This window comes from Homo sapiens, chromosome 18 (genome assembly GCF_000001405.40).
Source record: "Homo sapiens chromosome 18, GRCh38.p14 Primary Assembly".
Taxonomy (NCBI): domain Eukaryota; kingdom Metazoa; phylum Chordata; class Mammalia; order Primates; family Hominidae; genus Homo; species Homo sapiens.
Window position 1 is genome coordinate 45612416 of NC_000018.10, and position 21053 is coordinate 45633468.

At 48.0% G+C, this 21053-nt stretch overlaps 1 protein-coding gene and 1 long non-coding RNA gene across 7 annotated transcripts in view; one reads left to right on the plus strand and one right to left on the minus strand.

Annotated features, from left to right (window-relative positions):
- The window catches only part of SLC14A2 (solute carrier family 14 member 2), a 515726-nt gene that overhangs the window by 444453 nt on the left and 50220 nt on the right, over positions 1–21053 (plus strand). For 5 of the 6 annotated variants that reach the window (NM_001371319.1, XM_024451270.2, XM_017026016.3 and 2 more), the window contains 4 exons: positions 12216–12399; positions 13268–13448; positions 14543–14732; positions 19935–20063. In NM_001371319.1, coding sequence (NP_001358248.1) covers positions 12250–12399; positions 13268–13448; positions 14543–14732; positions 19935–20063 — 650 coding nt within the window. In that variant the 5' untranslated portion in view covers positions 12216–12249. Of the gene's footprint in view, positions 1–3060; positions 3168–12215; positions 12400–13267; positions 13449–14542; positions 14733–19934; positions 20064–21053 lie in introns of those variants that run through there. The other variant, NM_007163.4, reaches the window with a different exon arrangement.
- Positions 1–21053, minus strand: part of LOC105372093 (uncharacterized) — a 176501-nt gene that overhangs the window by 6080 nt on the left and 149368 nt on the right. The window lies entirely within an intron of this gene.

Consider the following 21053-nt stretch of genomic DNA (forward strand, 5'->3'; position numbering starts at 1 on the left):
GGGGTTCTTGGACAATGGCCCTGAAGATGCTCAGACACACCCACATGAATACATCACTCACAGCATAAGCATGAACAATTAAAATCGCTAATGTTTATTAGCTACTTAATATGTGCTAGGCACTGCACTAAGCAACTTGCATGCATTATTTCTTCTGAAACAATCTTATGAGGTAGGCACTATTATTGTCCTCACCTCACAGATGGGATGAGAAAACCAAGACACAGAGAGGTTGTGGGGCTTCCCCAAGGATGCACAGCTAAGTAGGTGGGTGGTAGGGTTTGGCTCTGTGTCCCCACCCAAATATCGTTTGGAATTTTAATCCTCATATTCCCCATGTGTCAAAGTCGGACCCAGTAGGAGGTGACTGGATCATGGGGGCAGCTTCCCTATGCTGTTCTCATGATAGTGAGTTTTCACAAGGTCTGATAGTTTTATAAGTGTTTGGCAAGTTCCTCCTTCTCACACACTCTCTCTCTCCTGCTGCTATGTGACAAGGTCCAAGTTTGCTTCCCCTTCTTCTGCCATGACTGTAAGTTTCCTCAGGTCTCCCCAGCATTGTGGAAATGTGAGTCAATTAAACCTCTTTCCTTTATAAATTACCCAGTCTTTGGCAGTTTTTTTTTGTTGTTGTTTTTTGAGACAGTCTCACTCTGTCGCCCAGGCTGGAGTGCAGTAGCGCAATCTCGGCTCACTGCAAGCTCCGCCTCCCAGGTCCACACAATTCTCCTGCCTCAGCCTCCCGAGTAGCTGGGACTACAGGCGCCCGCCACCATGCCCAGCTAATTTTTTGTATTTTTAGTAGAGATGGGGTTTCACCGTGGTCTTGATCTCCTGACCTCGTGATCCGCCCGCCTCAGCCTCCCAAAGTGCTGGGATTACAGGTGTGAGCCACTGCGCCTGGCCAGCAGTTTTTATAACAGTATGAAAACAGACTAATACAGTAAATTGGTACCAAGATAGTGGGACAGTGCTATAAAGATACTTGAAAATGTGGAAGCAAGTAGGGAACTGGGTAACAGGCAGAGGTTGGAACAGTTTGGAGAGCTCGGAGGAAGATAGATAGAAAGATGTGGGAAAGTTTGGAACTTCCTAAAGACTTGCTGAATGATTTTGACCAAAATGCTGATAGTGATATGAACAGTGAAGTCCAGGCAGAGGTGGTCTCAAATGGAGATGAGGAACTTGTTGGGAACTGGAGTAAAGGTCACTCTTGCTATGCTTTAGCAAAGAGACTGGTGGCATTTTGCCACCTCCCTAGAGATCTGTGGAACTTTGAACTTGAGAGAGACGATTTAGGATATCTGGCAGAAGAAATTTCTAAGCAGCAAAGCATTCAAGAGGTGACCTCGGTGCTCTTAAAAGGATTCAATTTTATGCATTTACAGAGAGATTGTTTGAAATTGGAACTTATGTTTAAAAGAGAAGTAGAGCATAAAAGTTGGGAAAATTTGCAGCCTGACGATGTGATGGAAAGAAAAACTCATTTTCTGGGGAGAAATTCAAGCTGGCTGCAGAAATTTGTCTAACCAGAAGCCAAATGTTAATCGCCAAGACAATGGGGAAGATTACTCCAGGGCATGTCAGAGAACTTTGCAGCAACCCTACCATCCTGGGCCCAGAGGCCTAGGAGGAAAAACAATGGGCTGGTCCAGGGCCCCACTACTGCCCTATGCAGCCTCGGGACTTGGTACCCTGCATCCCAGCCATGGCTAAAAGGGGCCAGTGTACAGTTCAGGCCATTGCTTCAGAGGGTGCAAGCCTCAACCCATGGCGGCTTCCATGTGGTGTTGAGCCTGCAGGTGCACAGAAGTCAAGAATTGAGGTTTGGGAACCTCCACTTAGATTTCAGAGGATGTATGAAACGCCAGGATGTCCAGGCAAAAGTTTGCTGCAGGGGTAGAGACCTCATAGAGAACCTCTGCTAGGGCAGTGCAGAAGGGAAATGTGAAGTTGGAGCCCCCACACAGAGTCCCCACTGGAGGACTGCCTAGTGGAGCTGTGAGAAGAGGACCACCGTACTCCAGACCCCAGAATGGTAAATCCACTGTCAGCTTGCACTCTGCACCTGGAAGAGCCACAGACACTCAACACCAGCCTGCGAAAGCAGCAGGAGGAGAGCTATACCCTGCAAAGCCACAGAAGCAGAGCTGCCTGAGTCTGTGGGAGCCCACCTCTTGCATCAGCATGACCTGGATATGAGACATGGAGTCAAAGGAGATTATTTTTGAGATTTAAGATTTAATGACTGCACCACTGGATTTTGGACTTGCGTGGGGCCTGTAGCCCTTTGTTTTGGCCAATTTCTCCCATTTGAAATGGGAGCATTTATCCAATGCCTCCTGCACCCCCACTGTATCTTGGAAGTAACTAACTTGCTTTTTTTTTTTTTTTTTTTTTTGAGACACAGTTTGCTCTGTCACCCAGGCTGGAGTACATTGGCACTATCTTGGCTCACTGCAACCTCCACCTCCCAGGTTCAAGAGATTCTTCTGTCTCAGCCTCCCAGTAGCTAGGACTACAAGTGTGTGCCACCACACCCTGCTAATTTTTGTATTTTTAGTAGAGACAGGGTTTCACCACATTGGCCAGGCTGGTCTCGAACTTCTGACGTCAAGTGATCCACCCGACTCGGCCTCTCAAAGTGCTGGGATTACAGGCGTGGGCCGCCGCACCCGGCCATTTGCTTTTGATTTTACTGGCTCATAGGTGGAAGGGACTTGCCTTGCCTCAGATGAAACTTTGGACTTTGACTTTCAAGTTAATACTGGAATAAGTTAAGACTTTGGGGGACTGTTGCTAAGGCACAATTTTGTTTTGAAATGTATAAAGAACATAATATCTGGGAGGGGCCAGGGGCAGAATGATATGGTTTGGCTCTGTGTCCACACCTGAATATCATCTCAAATTGTAATCCCAGTAATCCCCATATGTTGAGGGCAGGACCCAGGGCAAGGTGACTGGATCATGGGAGCGGTTTCCCCCATGCTGTTCTCGTGATAGTGAGTGAATTCTCACAAGATCTGATGGTTTTATAAGTGTTTGGCAAGTTCCTGCTCCACACCATCTCTCTCTTCTGCCGCCATTTGAGAAGGTCCAAGTTTGCTTCCCCTTCGCCTTCCACCATGACTGTAAGTTTCCTGAGGCCTCCCCAGCAATGTGGAAGTGTGAGTCAATTAAATTTCTTTTTTTTTTTTTTCTAATAAATCACCCACTCTCAGGTAGTTCTTTATAGCAGTATGAGAATGGACTATTGCAGTGGGGGAGCCAGGATTTGAATCCAGGTATTCTGTCTCCACTGTGCCACCACTGTCTAATAACACTAAAATTAACTACCTAGAGCCACCTCGGGGCAGCTTGTGTATATAAGTATGTGTGCATGTGTGTATGTGTAGGGGTGTATGTGTGTGTGTGTGTGTGTGAGAGAGAGAGAGAGAGAGAGAGGGAGAGAGAGAGACTACTACATTGTGAAATAGTCCACCACACAAGCCAGAGCAGAGGTCACCATGCTCCTAAGAGGCCAGGAAGGCACCATGGCCATGTTAGGGGTGGGTGTGTGAGCAGGATGTGTGTGAGTAAAGGAGATCAATATTCGTGCATGTGGAACTGAATTGGAGGTAGCTGTGGGACCTCAGGAGGCCACCTGCCCAGAACAGTGGCACACACTGCAGAGAAGCTGAAAATTGTCTTGGGCACAAGTGGAGCACCCCTGGGTAGAACCGAGGGAGATTGAGAACAGTTGCTATCTTCAGAGCTTTTTAACTTCTCCCCCTAAGTAGCCTCAACTGATGGGAGAATTGACACATTACCCCTACGTAATAGGTGGGCACAGCCTGAAGCAGCCACCTGCAGACTCTACATTTCTTCCCTTTATATTTTATTTTAATAATATAAAGAGTTGCATTTGACTATTTTATAAACCATGTTTGCTTAAATATACAACTATTATTCTATATTAGTTCATATCAAGCTCAATCAGCATTCCAGAAAACTGTGCTTCTCAGTGCCCTGGGCATTGACTACTCTGGCTCAGAGTTTCATGCCCAGTTTCAGGAGCGAAGCACTCAGACATGGAGCACCTCAGAAGGTTTTTGAGCAGTGGCACGACCAAGTCATGTTTTAAGATAATTTACCCATCACCAGTGGCAAGGTGGAGAAAAACTGGGGAGACTGAAGTGAGGGAAATCAGCTAGAAGGTGACCTGCGTTGGGGAGGGCCTGGCTTAAAGGGAGATAATGGGCTGATCCAGACTGAGGGCTCTGAAGGAGAACTCGATGGCTGAATAATTGCAACTGATGGAATGCAAGAGGCAATAAATAAATTGCCATTTATTCATGGGATGAGAGGGCTCAATATGTGGAACATTGAAGGGTCACCCCACTTTAGAAGTGTCACATAAGGACCGGGTGCAGTGGCTCACACCTGTAATCCTAGCACTTTGAAAGACCAAGGTGGGCGGATTGCCTGAGCTCAGGAGTCTGAGACCAGTCTGGGCAACATGATGAAACCCCGTCTCTACTAAAATACAAAAAATTGGCTGGGCATGGTGGTGTGCGCCGGTAGTCCCAGCTACTAAGGAGGCTGAGGCAGGAGAATTGCTTGAACCCGGGAGGTGGAGGTTGCAGGGAGCCGAGATTGCGCCACTGCACTCTAGCCTGGGCAACAGTGGAGACTCCATCTAAAACAAAGAAAAAAGTGTCACATAAGAAGGGTGTGACGATCTCCTATGAGATTCTTCCAAACACAAGCTAAGGAGGAGCATCAAAAGAGGTCAAGTGGTCTGCTCTCTCCCCCACCTCATCTCACAGCCACTGCAGGCTCCTCAGAGCTTTTCTGCTGGAGGCCAGAATTCCCCTGCCAGGCTCTGGTTAGATTCTCAGCTGCAGAACCCCAGCCCTGGCCCTGCAGCAGAAACCAGAAAGATAAAGCCCCTGGCCCACTGGCCACCAGCCATCTCTAACCCCAGCCAGTCCTCAGAGGACCCAGAGGAGGTGGTGCTGCCTCTGACTCCTGCCCCACCCAGCCTGACCCGCTGGCCCCAGTGAGTCAGTCTCCTCTCAGCCCAGATCAGACTTACTAACTTGGAGCTGCCAAGAAAACTCTGAGCCACCCCTAATAAAAGCCGGCACTCAGCCAGGCTCTTATACAACCCAGCCCTGAGTAAGGCACCTCTCAGCCCAGCTACTGGACTGTTTACCTGCCTTGTCTTCTTAGTGCCCAGGTGTCTCCTGGATTCCTCCCCTCCCTGATCTCCCTGATGTGTGATCCACCAGTCCAGGGGCCTCATCTGTCCCCATTCTGGCAGCCTGACCAAACATCCACCTAGCCCCACACACCTGATTTTTCACCTTCAGAGTCTACCAACTCAGGGATGAGTGAAGCCAGTGCTCCCAGGGACCCAGCCTGACTCACTCAGCAAGGTCCTTTCAGAATGATGCTGTCACTGAGATCCTGGTGGCAAGATGGCAGAGAGTCTGGGGTTGTGTTTGGTGAGCCAGAGTGAAGGACAATCAAGCAGACTGCCCTAGAAAAATGAAGGCTTAGGATCAACCTCTGAAGTGCTCTTAGGTGGGAAAAGGAGTCCCTGTATCCTGTGCAGGTATAATGGACAGAACTGGAAACAGCAAAGAGAAAAAGTCCCAGGGACTTGATGTCAGCTCCACAGATACAAGGGTTTCTAGTAAGCAGGGCTGTTCTCAACAAGACCAACCTGCCTCATGGGAAAGGGACCCCAGCCAGGAGAAGCTAGGTATCCAGAGGTGTTAAAGAATGGATTCCTTCATCATTTCAGAGAGGACATCCCTCTTGGTTCTAAGGTTGTAGAAATTTATGGAAACTCTCCTTGCATCAATTGCAAGGTCTTAGGCAAAATATATCAATCCAACTAATATTCTGGAGAACCTGCTAATCACTTTTACTTCTCCAGAGCTGCTGTGGTCTCAATAACTGAGTTGGTTAGAAGATGAAGTAAGGCCAGGCACAATGGCTCACGTCTGTAATCCCAGCACTTTGGGAGGCCCAGGCCAGTGGATTACCTGAGGTTAGGAGTTCAGGACCAGCCTGGCCAACATGGTGAAACCCCGTATCTACAAAAAATACAAAAATTAGCCAGGCGTGGTGGCAGGCGCCTGTAATCCCAGCTACTCGGGAGGCTGAGACAGGAGAATTGCTTGAACCTGGGAGGAGGAGGTTGTAGTGAGCCGAGATTGCACCATTGCACTCCAAGCTGGGTGACAAGAGCGAAACTCTGTCTCAAAAAAAAAAAAAAAAAAAAAAAAAAAAAGAAGTAGTAAATGGGGCCATTTGAGATTCATCCCCAGATGACCAGGGGACTGGTATACTTAAGCCCAAGAGACTAGGGATAGGGAGAGAGCTTTGACTCTGCACTAATTCACACCAACAACTCAAGAAATCCCTTTGAACATGGGCCCCTTACATCCCAGGGCAGCAGGAGCATACGAAATAGGCACAGCCCCTCTTCACTGGGCATGGGCGTGTTTCTGCAATTCTACTGGAGATGGATGATCTTTAGGAGAAAATAATCAGGAAAAGAATTTCAAAATTAGTACAATAGAGCAGGAGCCACAGTTTTTCTAACCATTGGAAGAATTTGGGTCCAAACCTAGACACTAAGGACTCCTGACAGTCTGGTTCTCACACCCTAGTTTTGTCTTTGATTGCCTGCTGACATCTCTCCCATGCTGTAGCAGAGTCCATGCTGGGACTTGCTTGCCCAAACCATGTATTTTCTCAGGCATTTCTCTGGAGTGTGCTCCTCTTTCTCACCTGCTTAGCCAAGTCCTGACATGGAAGCTGAGCCCAGTCTCCCCAGGGCTGGGAGGGCAGGGCAGCCGCTCTGTGCTCTCTGCACCGCCCTCTTGCCCTCTGCCCTTGTGCCTCCTGCTCAGGACACAGTGCCTGCTCACTGCTTCTCCTGGGCACTCGAATGTGAGCCCTTTGCAGGCAAGGACTGGGCCTTCCAGCAATGATCCCTCCAGGGTAGCCCACAGGCGAACGGTAGATATTCAACAAGGAGGGTTCTTACAAAGAGGATGGAGGAGCTGGTCTGTTTTGGGAGCCCCTTGCCAGACATTTGAGGCCTGGTTTTTGGAGAGACGTGGGACTGATCCAAACAGCCTCTCTGTCCATATTTCTGAAGGAGAAGAGGAGGTGTGGGCAGCCAAGGAGAGTCTGAGTGCGCCAAGCAGATCATTATGTGTTCTTGGAAGCAGGTTTAATGGACTGGCGCTGAGCTGAGCTGGGAACGGGCTGAGGCCCTCAGCCCGGACGTGGCTCGGGCAGGGATTTCACATCCAGTTCTAACAAGTGGCGACGCCTTATGGAAACTTTTGAAAGCTGTTCCGTTTCACACCAGCCAGCTTGTACTTCATCTGGCTGCTCCCACCCTCTCTCCCTTCAATTTGGGAGCACGAGAAGAGGGAAAAGTAAGATCACTAAGCGCCTACTATGTGCCAGGAACCAAGTCAGCAATTTCACTGTCCTGAGAAGCCTACGTTGCCCTTCGGAGACATGGAGGCCCACGCGGCCCCGAGTGGCAGAGCAGGGAGGCAGGAGCAGCCCCACCTCACAGCCTGTGCTCCTTCCGGATGCGGAGACTTGCTCTCCACAGGGCCATTGGTGCTGCATGTCTCGCCCCCTACCCCAAAGCCAAAATTCCCCGTTGTAACAGAGTAAACATTCCCGTGGCAAAGGAACGCTGTATTCCCTAGAGGAGGTGCAAGGCCCTGTTCCTGCAGAGGATACATAGGATTGAGAAACACAACAGCGGGCTGAGGCCCTGGACCCAGGCGCTCAAGGGCCAGCCACTCGGCTGTGCATGGCCCAGCCAGGCAGTCAGAGTAATGGAGAGCGCAGTGGGGAACTGGGTCTAACCTTGACTCTGCAGCAAACTGCTCATTTTCTGGGTCCTGCAAATGTCACAATGAGGTGAGCTTGCTCTGGAAAATGCTGAGAGCAACATACACATGAGAAACAATTCCTATTTTGCTTTTCAAGGACATGATTTATCTGTAAATGGAAATATTGTCTGCATACAGAAGGGACTCAAAGGTGGAGTACCTTTTTGGAGAGTACCCTAGAAAGAACTTCCCTTGTGCAATAATAATAATAAAGGGATTTTTAGGTGTAAGGCTTTCTGTTGGGTGGTATAAATGCAGAAATTAACAAGGTAATGGCCCCTGTTCTTACAGGGATTATAAAGTAGACACATTTTTTTTTCATCAAAAGAAATATAAAAATCTTTAAATTCTTACGGTTAGGAAATAATTTCTGAGTATACCCATTCTCAACTCCTACCTGTATACTTCAGCCCCACCACTTAAAAGAACACTATATTTCCTTGATTATATGATGTATATTATTTTCATATTTTAACATTTCTAAAATCAGGATGCATCTTGAAATTATGAATGGAAGCATTTTCTTCTTTCTTTATGATACATAAAATAGTGATCAATCTTACAGCTGATAACATCTTAGATTCCATGAAATATGTTTAGGAAAAACCTTTATCATTACCACTTTTCAGCTAGACTTTTAATAGATTTCATAGCCACTGAATTTAACACAAGGCCTTTCCGGAACATATCTAGTTCATCCAGTTGTATAGTGTCATGCAGATTGTGTGTCTAGATATCTGATTGCCCCTGCTTACTTTTCATATGGTTGGCTTGGAGGGAAATTTTTACCAAGGGCCAGGGATGCTGTATCACCTCTTGGCCACCAGAGGGAGAGAGCGCATTGGAGAGGAACAGGTTCTGGGGCTTGTCGGATTTCACTGTCTCCTAAACCTTTCCAGCATGCCCCCTCTATGGCAGTGTGCCCACCCCTTACTGAAACCCTACCTACAGGGTCAGAATACAAGGAAAGGCCTCCATTCCGGAGTTATGGCAGCATCAGGGTTAGTTAGATCTGAATGACATTTGCAGACCTACACAAAAATTCACAGTGGTCTAATGAGCTCCTCCTGGGAATGAGAACGGTGCTAGACATGACAGGGGGTTCTGCCTGCAGAAAATGCATGGCTGGTGGGTGGCCCCACGCTGTTCTGAAACCACTGGAGATCCCTGAGATCCACAGAGATTTGTAAAGTTATGCAGAGAAGTGTTCCCTATCTATCAGTCACCTGTAACCTTGCTCACAGTCGCTTCCTCCCCCCCACCTCTTCCTTCCATATTTATTTATTGAACCCTTACTACATGCCACACACTGTGCTAGGAGCTGGGGTCAAAGCAATAGACAGAACAGAGGAGGCCACCGTCCTCATGAAACCTAAGTTCTGGTGGGAAGATAGAAACCATACAAATAAATATACAAATCTGCTATAAGGAAAAATACCTGGTCCCATGAGAGTATGTGACAGGAGAACATGGTGGGTGGATCTGCGAGGGTTTATTTAGCAAGTGATCATTGAGACAAAGCCTGGCAGAAGTGTAGGGGTTGACCAGGAAGAGTGAGGGAAAGGTCTTCATGCCAATGAACCAGCACTTGCAGAGGCCCTGAGGTGGAAAGTGTTCAACACCTTACAAGTACTAAAAGGAGGCCAGCATGGGGCCTGGAGTCATGGAGCCAGAAAGCAAGGGACTCACTAAAGCACAGTGGCAGCTCAGAGCCTTGCACACCCTGTCAAAGAGGTAGTTTTCCATCTGAAAGCATTGATGGGCTTTAAGCAGGGATCCAACATGAGATTAATATGGCAACTCTTCCCTGCGGGGCATGGCTTTGAGGAGAAACCTGGGAAAAAGTAGGGATATCCAAATGAAAGTCATTGAAGATGTGGTAAGAGGTGATGGTGGCTAACTGGTGACCATGAACGTGAAGGCATATTTTTTAGAGACAGAATTGTTAAATTTAGAGAGTAAGAAGAAGGGAGCATTAAGTGTGACTCCTGAGTTTTCTGAAGGAATGGCTTGGAAGGGGAAGATGACTTTTCCTAGGTGGTCACCTGTGAGGGAGGATAGGATTTGGGAAGGCAACATGATGAGTTGTTTTGGCAAATTAAGGCACTTGGAACGTCTATATGTGAGTGTAAAGTAGACAACTAAATCTGTTAATCCACTGCTCAAAACTGGGCTGGAAATGTGAGTTTTGAGGGTCATCGGCAGGGAGATGGAATACGAAGCCATGCTGAGGGCTGACGTCACCTGGGTAGGAGCACCAGGGCTGAGAAGAGGGCCCGGAACAGGGGTCTGCAAAATGCTCCTGTTACACGAAGAAGAGCCGCCAAAAGAGAGTGTGAAGGAGCAACCAGAGAGGGGAGCAGATATAACGGCCAAAGAGTGTGTCAAAGAGGGTGATCAACTCTCAGAACACCACTGAGCAGCCTGGTGGGATGGGGACTGAAAGTGGACTTGCCATGGAGGCCTTAGAGACCACAGCAAAGGCAGCCATAGCAGAAAGCAGACTGAGCTGGACTAAAGAGAGAAAAGGGAAGCACCTAGTGTTCACCTGAGGACAGCAATCCAACTTACAGTGAAAGCAATCTACTCGGTTATTACCCTTGTTCTCTAGCCATGTTCAGTTGTTTGGTGAAAGCATGGAAAAGTTAGGCATTTGGGTTTATCCCGGCTGGAATTTCACCATACAAGCATGAGGGAGGGAGACAGGTGCAAGAGAGTTGGAGGAAGTAACATAAGGGGCCATGAAGTTAAGTTGGTCAAGGAGGGAAGGGAAGACAGGTGGTTGTGGGAGCTGAAGGGCTGTCAGAGGGGTCACCTGAGCAGGTGAGCCAAATGTGCAAGAGGAAGTGGCCAGAGGAGAGATCTGACTTTTGAGATTTCCAGTGTGTGTGATATTAAGCCCATGCTGGGACTGTGGAAATCAGTTGCTGAAAAGGGGAGATGAAAAGGTTCACTGGAGATGAGAAGGACAAGGATCTGAGAAGCCAGAGAACAGGATGATGAGTTATCTGCCTGGACATCGAAGCTGCTTAAAGTTACTGGAGGGGGATGAAGATGATTAGTAGGAGCACTTCAAGTCTTCTCTGAATGACAGAGTGACCAGAGAGTCAGTAACGCAGCAGTGGGCAGTTGGAGAGGATGGTATGGCCATTTGAGATAAGCCTCAAAGAAGAAGGGTTTCTGCCCAAGCAAGGTGAGTGGTGCTCAGAAGAAATTGTGGAGAGTAAGAATTCCTCTCATTAGGAGGAGGAGAGGTAATAGCCTAGCGAAATGGAACTAATGCAAAATTAGATAGGGGACTTTATCCCCTTTTGAAGGGAATCCTGCAATCCTTGAGCGGTGTCTGGAATGATGAGTATACGGAATGGTAGTACCCATGTTAGGGATCTGTGATCCCTGTCCTAAGAGAGACGGTCCTACACTGAAGGGATGCAGCATGGAGCACGGAGCAATGGGGAAAGCTCTAGGTCATACTGAGAGGAGACCGCATGCAGGTCCAAAACCACCTCTCAAATAAATAAATAAAAAGATATAACTGAGCTGGAGGAGGCTAGAGAAGAAATGCACAAATGGCTGTATGGGAAGGAGAGAGTACAGCACTACCAAGGGGAAGCCAGACAAAACCAGGAAACTGAGGACCTCAGGCAAAGGATGTTCCAAAAGCAAGTCATGGCATAAGCCCTGACCCTGGTGGTACGGGGACAGGAGCCCCATGTGGAAGGGAAGCTCCTTCAGCTGGGATGCACACAGCTCATGGAAGAATAGACCAGTGCTTCCTACTGTTCCTAGGGAAGGGAAAGAGGGAAGGAGCTGGAAATGGTAGAGGGAAGAGAAGGAAGACTGGAGATCAGTTGTAAGCAATGTAGCCTCCATAGAAATTCAGGAAGAGTTTCTCTTAGACACCCCCCACCTCCAATCAGTACTGGATCTGTGTGTACGTATCAAGGGGAACATACGTGTACCACTAACTACCACAATAGGACGGCACAGCAGGCAATATGAAAGGCAGAGAAAAAACACTCAGTGATCAAGAGAAAAAGAGAGACTTCCATTCTGACTCAGTGGTCAGGGATATCTTCATCGGCCAAATGGACATTCTTCTGGACGCGGAAGAATGGGAGGATTTTGAAAGGTAATGAGGTAGAGAAATGTCCTCAACTCTACAGCACAAGCTGTAGATCCCACGTGTGTCACTGTCCAACCCCCAGGACAGACCTGAGGTCTGAGTCCAGCCTCAGCCAAGTCCCTCTGGGCCCCGTCCTGACTCACTAGCTCTTTCCCTTTCCTTCCGTCTAGTCCATCGATAGAAGAGTGGCTGTGACCCGAAGGAATGTCTGACCCCCACAGCAGTCCTCTCCTGCCAGAGCCACTTTCCAGCAGATACAAACTCTACGAGGCAGAGTTTACCAGCCCGAGCTGGCCCTCGACATCCCCGGATACTCACCCAGCTCTGCCCCTCCTGGAAATGCCTGAAGAAAAGGTGAGAAGTGTCCCTCCTAGGATGTTTCCTGGGAGGGAGGGGATGGGAAAAGTGGGGGCAAAAGATGCCGCTTTCCCACCTTCCCAGTGAACTTAGCACACTGAGGAAGTGCCACTGTCAGTACATGGTGACACCCATGGTGGGTCCTACCTGGCCTTAGATAATGTGGCTCTTCATGAGACATGATTTTAAGGACAAGTACAGAATACAGACACTCACTCACCAGTCTTTCAATCAGTCTCTAAAATCTTTCCCCTTAAACCTGCTCCCTTGAACTACCCTACTGTCTCCAAAGGGAAGGCCTTTGTTGAAATGCAGGCCATTAGCATCCTCGGTGGTAGCACAGAGGTAGACTGGCTGGCCACTGCTGCAGTAGAGAGGGACTCAAGACTGCTGGGATGGCCTTCCAGAGCTGTCCTGACTTGCGATGAGGAGGTCCCATATCTTTACTCATCACTACTTTGAAATTACAGAAGGTATTGGATCTGCTGTGCATACATGTGTATCTTAATTTTTAGTAAGATTATAACTGCATTTCAGTATAATTGGCTTGGTTTGCCGTCCTATTTATCTGATCTTTGCATTTACAAACATTATTCTGAAAAGAAGCTCATGGGCTTCATTAAACTGCCAAAAGAGATCCATGGCACAAAGGTGAAGAAATCCTGCTGTGAAGAAGGTGCATGGTCCTGGGAAGAACAGGCTTGTACGGGGCACTCTATGCAGCCGCAGACAATGGGCATGTGTTCCACCCTTTGTCTCATGATCCTTTATTTTTATCAAAAAACCTGCCACCCTCCTCTATCCCCAAATGTCCCTGCTCTCAGAAAGCTGTATCATTTGATGTCTGGTTGGTTTCTCCTAAAAGGATCTCCGGTCTTCCAATGAAGACAGTCACATTGTGAAGATCGAAAAGCTCAATGAAAGGAGTAAAAGGAAAGACGACGGGGTGGCCCATCGGGACTCAGCAGGCCAAAGGTGCATCTGCCTCTCCAAAGCAGTGGGCTACCTCACGGGCGACATGAAGGAGTACAGGATCTGGCTGAAAGGTAGGAAAATACCCTGGGGAGAGGCAGCCAGACCAGGCCAGGCCAGAGAGACAACCCTCTCTCCGGTTTGGTCCAAAGCTTCTCCCTCACTCATTCACCCTCACCCTGGGTGGATCTGCCCAGGACTGGACCTCACCCAGGGCTGGAGTCCACAGCTGGGGGAACTTCAGCCCTAAGCTGACTCCAAGGGGATATGATATACCCTACTGGCCTGGAATTCTCATGGTTTCAGAATTAAATGCATTGATCTTAGTTCTTTGCAAATTGCTCGTTCCTATGTGAAATAGATATAGGACAACCATATTAGCAACATATAAGCCATTTCCCAAGCTAGCTGAATGATCATTCCTTCACTCGATTCACTTGTTGCACAGCCATTTATTATGTGCCTGCTATGTGCCAAGAAAATATTGGTATCATCCTTCCCAAAGCTTCAGGATTCTTTCCTTTTAACTTCTCGAACTAAACACTGAAAGGAATGCCACACCCTTCACTCCCACTAGCCCCGACACCTGCACCAGTTGTCATGGAAACCAAACCAGCAAATGAGGCAGAATGTACGCCCCTCTCCTATACCTGGCCTCCTCCAGGCCCTGACTCAGTACTGATTTTCACAGCTGGGCTACAACAATTTCTTCCCTAGTGTCTTTTCTTCAGGCTACTTTCTTTGCTGCTCAGATACCAGCCCTTAACTGAGTCATCCAGCACTACAGAAAAAAGAATTTCCTGCCCCCACCCCCCCACCTTCCCCACCCTTTCTTTTGGACCAATAAATTTCCCTTGGAATGCTCCCGGGGCTTCTTTTCCAACCAAGCCAGTGGCTGGAACAGCGTTAAATTGTTCTCAGCATGGTGCCTCTGTCTATATGGCAAAAACTACCACCCACTGCAGAATGATTGCTGGGCTACTGAGAGATTTGGGCTGGGCACCAGCCTCCCCTCTACCCCCACCCCTCCACCCCGACCCCTGGCCTGGCTGAATGGGAAGGGTCCTGGCTTGCACATTCCTGTTTGCCTTGGTTGCCATGCCAACCAGCAGTTCAGCAGAGCAGCCCAAGCTGGACCTGCTGATGGCTCGCTCTCTGTCTCTTTCAGACAAGCACCTTGCCCTCCAGTTCATAGACTGGGTCCTGAGAGGGACCGCTCAGGTGATGTTCATCAACAATCCTCTCAGCGGCCTCATCATCTTCATAGGGCTGCTGATCCAGAATCCCTGGTGGACAATCACTGGGGGCCTGGGGACAGTGGTCTCGACCTTAACAGCTCTCGCCTTGGGCCAAGACAGGTGGGTCCCTCTCTATAGGGATTTTAGCAAGATGTGTGGAACAGAAAGTAGAGAGGTGTTTACTTGAGTAATCAGTCAACCTTACCCTCCCAGCCAGCCAAAGTCTCCTGAGTATCAACTTTAAGCAGGTCACTGACAGTCCTTGCAGAATTACACTGCTCCTGCTCACAGCATGTGACAGTGTCAACATTCATTTGACTGTGGAGACTTCTGCAAACACTGCCTCAGAGGGAGGTGCAGAGGAACAGCTAAGCTGTTCTTCCCTCACAGAGCCTACCATCTAGTTGAAGGAGACAAGATTAATAGGCAATGAATGTCTCAGAATAATACAGGACAGTATATAATTGAGTTCAGAGAAGACAGACATTACCAAGTGTTGGGAAGATTAGAGAGGCTACCTCTGAGTTATAAAGGTTGCATATGGGGGATCTGAGAGAAGGCGAGGAGAGAGAGGAGGACAGTGTGGGAAGGGGCACTGAGGAAGGGGAGCAAACAGGGCTGGCAGGAGGCATAGATACAGATGTGGAAAGAGAAGTTGGCCTCGCACTGGCTGGTGCAAAGTCAAGTAACAATAACAAGGGCCAGGCACGGTGGCTCACGCCTACAATCTCAGCACTTTGGGAGGCTTAAGACAGGCAGATCACTTGAGGCCAGGAGTTTGAAGCCAGTCTGGCCAACATGGTGAAACCCCGTCTCTACTACAAATACAAAAATCAGCTGTGCATGGTCGTGCATGCCTGTAATCCCAGCTACTCGGAAGGCTGAGGATCTCTTAAACCTGGGAGGTGGAGGTTGCAGTGAGCCAAGATCGTGCCACTGCACTCCAGCCAGGGTGACAGAGCAAGACTTTCTCAAAAAAAAAAAAAAAAAAAAGAAAAGAAAAAGAAAAAAGAATAAAAACTTGCATTTTGTAGAACTTGACCACTTCCTGAGACTTTGCCGTATATTTTTCCAGTGGCTCCCAAACTTTCCTGATGGTCAGAATCACTTAAGGTGGTTGTTAAGAAATAGTTTCAGGCTGGGCATGGTGGTTCACACCTGTAATCTCAGTACTTCAGGAGGCCAAGGCGAGTGGATCACAAAGTCAAGAGATTGAGACCATTCTGGCCAATATGGTGAAACCCCATCTCTACTAAAAGTACAAAAGTTAGCTGGGCGTGGTGGCGCTTGCCTGTTGTCCCAGCTACTTGGGAGGCTGAGGCAGGAGAATTGCTTGAACCCGGGAGGCGGAGGTTGCAGTTAGCCGAGATCGCACCACTACACTCCAGCCTGGTGACAGAGCGAGACTCTGCCTCAAAAAAAAAAAAAAAAAGAAAGAAAGAAAGAAATCGTTTTGGCCCACTCCTCCCCCTTCCTCTCATAGCTATGAAAATTCAGTGGATCTGAGAGTGGGTACTTTTAACAAGGTCCTCCTAGATGCTTCTGATGGTCAGAGAAGTTTGGAAAGCACTGGATTATCCCCTATCTTAGTGTTTTTCAATTTGGGGATCACCAAGCCATTTCCAGATCATGAATTAATTGTCAGCAGCATTTTTTAAAGTTAATAGCGTAAAATAAAACTGATGAGAGTTATCTATATATGGTAATGGTAAGTATTATTTGGTGGAATTTTTGTTTCATTTATGTTGGGGATGTGTGCGTGGGAGAGAAAGAAAGAAAGAAAGTGAAAGCTAAGTCATAATATAAAATGCATTTCTTACAGTGGGTTTCTCTCAAAAAAAGAAAACTGAGAAGCACTGTCATATCTTATTAACTGTGACTCTTACCACCACTGCACAAGGCACAGTGAAGGGAACAGAGTCCACATCTTGCAAGTGAGGGAAAGGAGACTGGAAGGGGAGAGCTACCTACCAAAGGTGCCACAGCCAGTGGGTGGCAGGACTTAGGCTTGGAGGCATGACCTGCATCTTAGAATCAAGGTCATGCTGTCCCCATCATGGCACCTGTGAGGACAACATGGTCAGAGGCCCATTGGTGAACCCAAAGTAATCAGAGCTGGAAGTGTTGTAACCAACGTCAGGCCCAGCCGACGTTCCTCATTCCACCGAGGGAAATGCATGAGTCAGCCTGGCCCTGGTGAGAAGTTGCTCATGCACCTCTAGGGTGGCGTTGGAGGACCACTCAGATTCTAGCATGCTAGGAGGCCATTCAAAGTCAGATGGATGAGAGGCTGAATTCTTCTGAATGCAGATCTGGTGGGTGAGATTAAAAATGGGCTCCAGCCAGGTTCCTGTGTCTCCTTCAGTTAGTGGGCCTCCTATTCCTTGTTCCCATGTACCTATCAACCATGGGCAGCTGGCACAGAACTGAGCCCCTGGCAGATCAGCCCATGCCTCACTGCTTCATCATTGTGTGCTGAAATTTACCTGGGGTGAACTCTGTCCAGCCCACTGCCTTCTTAGCTGTGTGACTCAGGCAAGTACTTCCCCCTCCAGCCCCATTATCCTCATCTGTATAATCTACTGTCCAGCTGAGATGAGCCCAAGACCCTCCCTGCGCTGACACTCTGATTCTTTGATTATCCTCCCCACCATTAATCTACTGGTAAACATGCCAAGCCATTCAGAGGGTCACTTCACAGACTGCAGTTTTACAAGGGGGGATGCACACCAGGCATGCCTAATCCTCACAAACACCCTGATTAAGAATTTAAGATAAATATGCATCAGATAAAAACCCAGTCCCTCAGCTTGGCTCCCCAAGTGTCATTTGATGGGTCCTACAGTACCTAGTGCTCAATCAACATCACATTTGTCCCTAGTTAAGTACTTTTGCTTCTGTGATCCCTGACACCAGCTGTACCTCTGTCTATCTAATTCTACAGTTCCCTGGAATCCTTCCTCCCCCAGGGAGCCACTCCTGATTCCCTCTATGCTCTCTGAACTTTTCTTTCTCTCTGAACAACCACAGAACACATCCCAGTACTAGATTGAATTGTTCTGTAATTAATTTTTTTGATTCTTCTTTCTCTGGATATATTCTAAGCATGTTCAGGAGAAGTTGGTTTCCAATGGGCCATATACACCCACAGTGCCTAGAAAAGATCTAGGCTTTGTTGCTGACAGGTCAGTGTCTTGTTCTGCATCATAGGCTCAAAGCTCTAGCCACTGGACACAACATCCATACACATATCTTCTAAGGAGCCACGAGCTCACTGCTGTACACAATGAACCACTGACACAGTTGCATATTCTAAGCATGACCTCCATCACCCCCACTACCCTTTAATCACCCCCGCTGTCCCCACCCCCAATTCCCTACTAGCCTAAGACTATACTTTACAGATGGTAACTGAAGGTCAACAACACCAATGCTGCAGTGTCCTGATGGAATGTGGTCTTAATGGAGACCTTTTTGGCACTGGAGTTGAACCCAATTTTGCATATTTTATAGTCAGGGAGGGAAATCCAGAAACCACCAAAGTTTTAGTAAAAACAAGAGTTCTGGAGGGACACTCTCCACAGGGTGGGACAGCTATTGGTATTAAAACAAAAAAAGCACTAATTTATATCACCAAACACAAATGGGAAAATGTAGAGAAAATACAAACACACTAAAAATAATGATTTTCCCAAAACATGGATTTCTGCTCCTGAAGTGCTCCCCAGTGGTCTTCTCTGCCACCTCCCTCCATCCCACCCACTGCCTGTCTCCAGCTGCCCCCATATCTTCCTGGCCTCAAGAGCAGCTGACCACACAGCTTGTCCTGTGTCCAGTACAAGTGTCCACACATGTGCCTTGTGCTACAGCTTTCTTGCAGGAAGCTGTCTAGATATGCTCTCTCCTGCCCCTTTCCCATCCTCCTGCTCTCCTCTTATCTAGGTCACTAGACCTCCTGGTCACTACAGAGGTGAAAGGTCCTCCCCCTTCCAAACCTAAGCCACAGCCCCTGCTGGGTTGGAGCCCTCCTCTAGCCAGAATTCCCTTCCTGCATCTCAGGGAGCCCTAAGCTTCCAGAAGCTTCTGCCATGCAAGAACAGCCAACACATGGTAAGGTTTAGCACGCCCACATTATTCATTCAACAAATACTAGCTGAGCACCCTCCATGCACAGATACTCTTGACATTGCTGGGTTACTGGGCCACAGCAACGGACACACAGACACACTTCAGCCCTCATAGAACTAAGGCAGGTGCAGAGGGACTGACCACAAGCACACACAGGTCACTCCTTGGCAGGGGCCTTGCATCACAAGCTGCCTATGCCCCTCCCTCACCCACAGCCTATGCCCCTCACCCGGCAGAGCAATTAGAAAGGTCAAGGACAGTGTTTATTACGATCAGGAGGAGAATTGTAGGTGCATACACCAGCTTCTCCTCTGAAAAAGAAGGAGTGGCTAGACTCATGCTTGGATACTACCACACTTCTGGGCTGCTCCTCACCAAGGGGCACCTGGGAACCCAAAGCTAAACCAGCTTATTCACTCTGTTGCAGACATGCAGAGAGAAAGTACACAGATTCCAGCTACAGAGAATTTTTTGTTTTTGAGACAGGGTCTTGCTTTGTCACCCAGGCTGGACTGGAGGGCAATGGTGAGATCTTGGCTCACTGCAGCCTCAACTTCCTGGGCTCAAGTGATCCTCCCACCTTAGCCTTCCAAGTAGCTGGGACTACAGGCATGCACTATCACGCCTGGCTAATTTTTGTATTTTAGCAGAGATGGGGTTTCACCATGTTGCCCAGGCTGGTTGAACTCCTGGGTGCAAGTCATCTTCCCACCTTGGACTCCCAAAGTGCAGGGATTACAGGCATGAGCCACTGAGCCTGGCCAACTACAGAGAACTTTACACAATGTAATCATAACACTCTTTCTCCTTCCCTCTCTTCTCTCTCCCTCACTCCCACACACAACTTCCTTGTGTCACACCTCAGGTTTCTATTATATTCCCTCTATATTTAGCAGTCTAAGTCTCCCCTGATAAAGAAGAGCTTAACCACAGACAAAGTGCATAATTTTAATTGTCGATCAGCAAGACAAGGGTGTGTGTGTGTGTGTTTGTGTGTGTGTGTGTGTGTGTGTGTTATCAGGAAAGGTGCTGGCAGCTATGTGACTGCCCAATATTCATTGAGCGAACTGACTTTTTTCTAAGCATTATTATTAAAGGAATCATCTAAATTAAGCATATCCTCAGAGCACCAGGAGGGAGGGGCCCAGTAACACCACCAACTTCAAATGCAAAATCAGTCTGTTTCACCGCCAGGTCTGCCATTGCCTCAGGACTCCATGGGTACAACGGGATGCTGGTGGGACTGCTGATGGCCGTGTTCTCGGAGAAGTTAGACTACTACTGGTGGCTTCTGTTTCCTGTGACCTTCACAGCCATGTCCTGGTGAGGCACCTCATTTTTTCTGCTCACAGCTCCATGGGGCCCCCAAGACACTTGTGTCTTATACTGGCCAGAGACAGGACATACACATGTGGGACCCAGCCCCTTCATAGCCAAGTTAGCTTGTCTGACACCATGAAAGCCCATGAGTTCTCTTGTAACACAAGGGGGTCATTTGGAGATATGGAATAAGGAGGATTCTTTTGTTTTTTGTTTGTTTGACACAGAGTCTTGCTCTGTCGTCCAGGCTGGAGTGCAGTGGCGCAATCTCGGCTCACTGCAAGCTCCACCTCCTGGGTTCACACCATTCTCCTGCCTCAGCCACACAAGTAGCTGGGACTACAGGCACCCGCCACCACGCCCAGCTAATTTTTTGTATTTTTAGTAGAGACAGGGTTTCACTGTGTTAGCCAGGATGGTCTCGATCTCCTGACCTCGTGATCCACCTGCCTCGGCCTCCCAAAGTGCTGGGATTACAGGCGTGAGCCACCATGCCCAGCCAGGAGGATTCTTTAAACCAACAAAAGACAACATTTTTTTTATTGCAATGGTAATCTTCCTGAACGACATTCTTAGTAATAAAAGTCAGCATTTCCTAAGTTATTCCTACATGCTTGACACAGTGCTAAGCAGGGCTTATGCAGTGCTAAGTATGGCTACATTTGCCATCAGTTTATGGAAGGGAAGACCAAGGCATGCAGAGATTAAGTCACTTGCCCCAAGTTGTACTTTGTGGTAGTTTTTGATGCTGGCATTCCAAATCCAATCTGCACTATTAAACCCCAGGTTGCATGGGAATTGTCTATTATGTGACGTAACCAAGACCTAAAAGCTGAAAACCTGCTTGTGATAGAAGCAGAGAGCTTTCTTGGAACAGAATATTTATATGTAAAGCATAGAACCTTTGAACTGGAAGTATCGGTTGAGATCTTGCTGGGCAATCACCTCATATTCTAGATGAAATAAGAAGGTCACCATGAAAGGGAGTTAGGA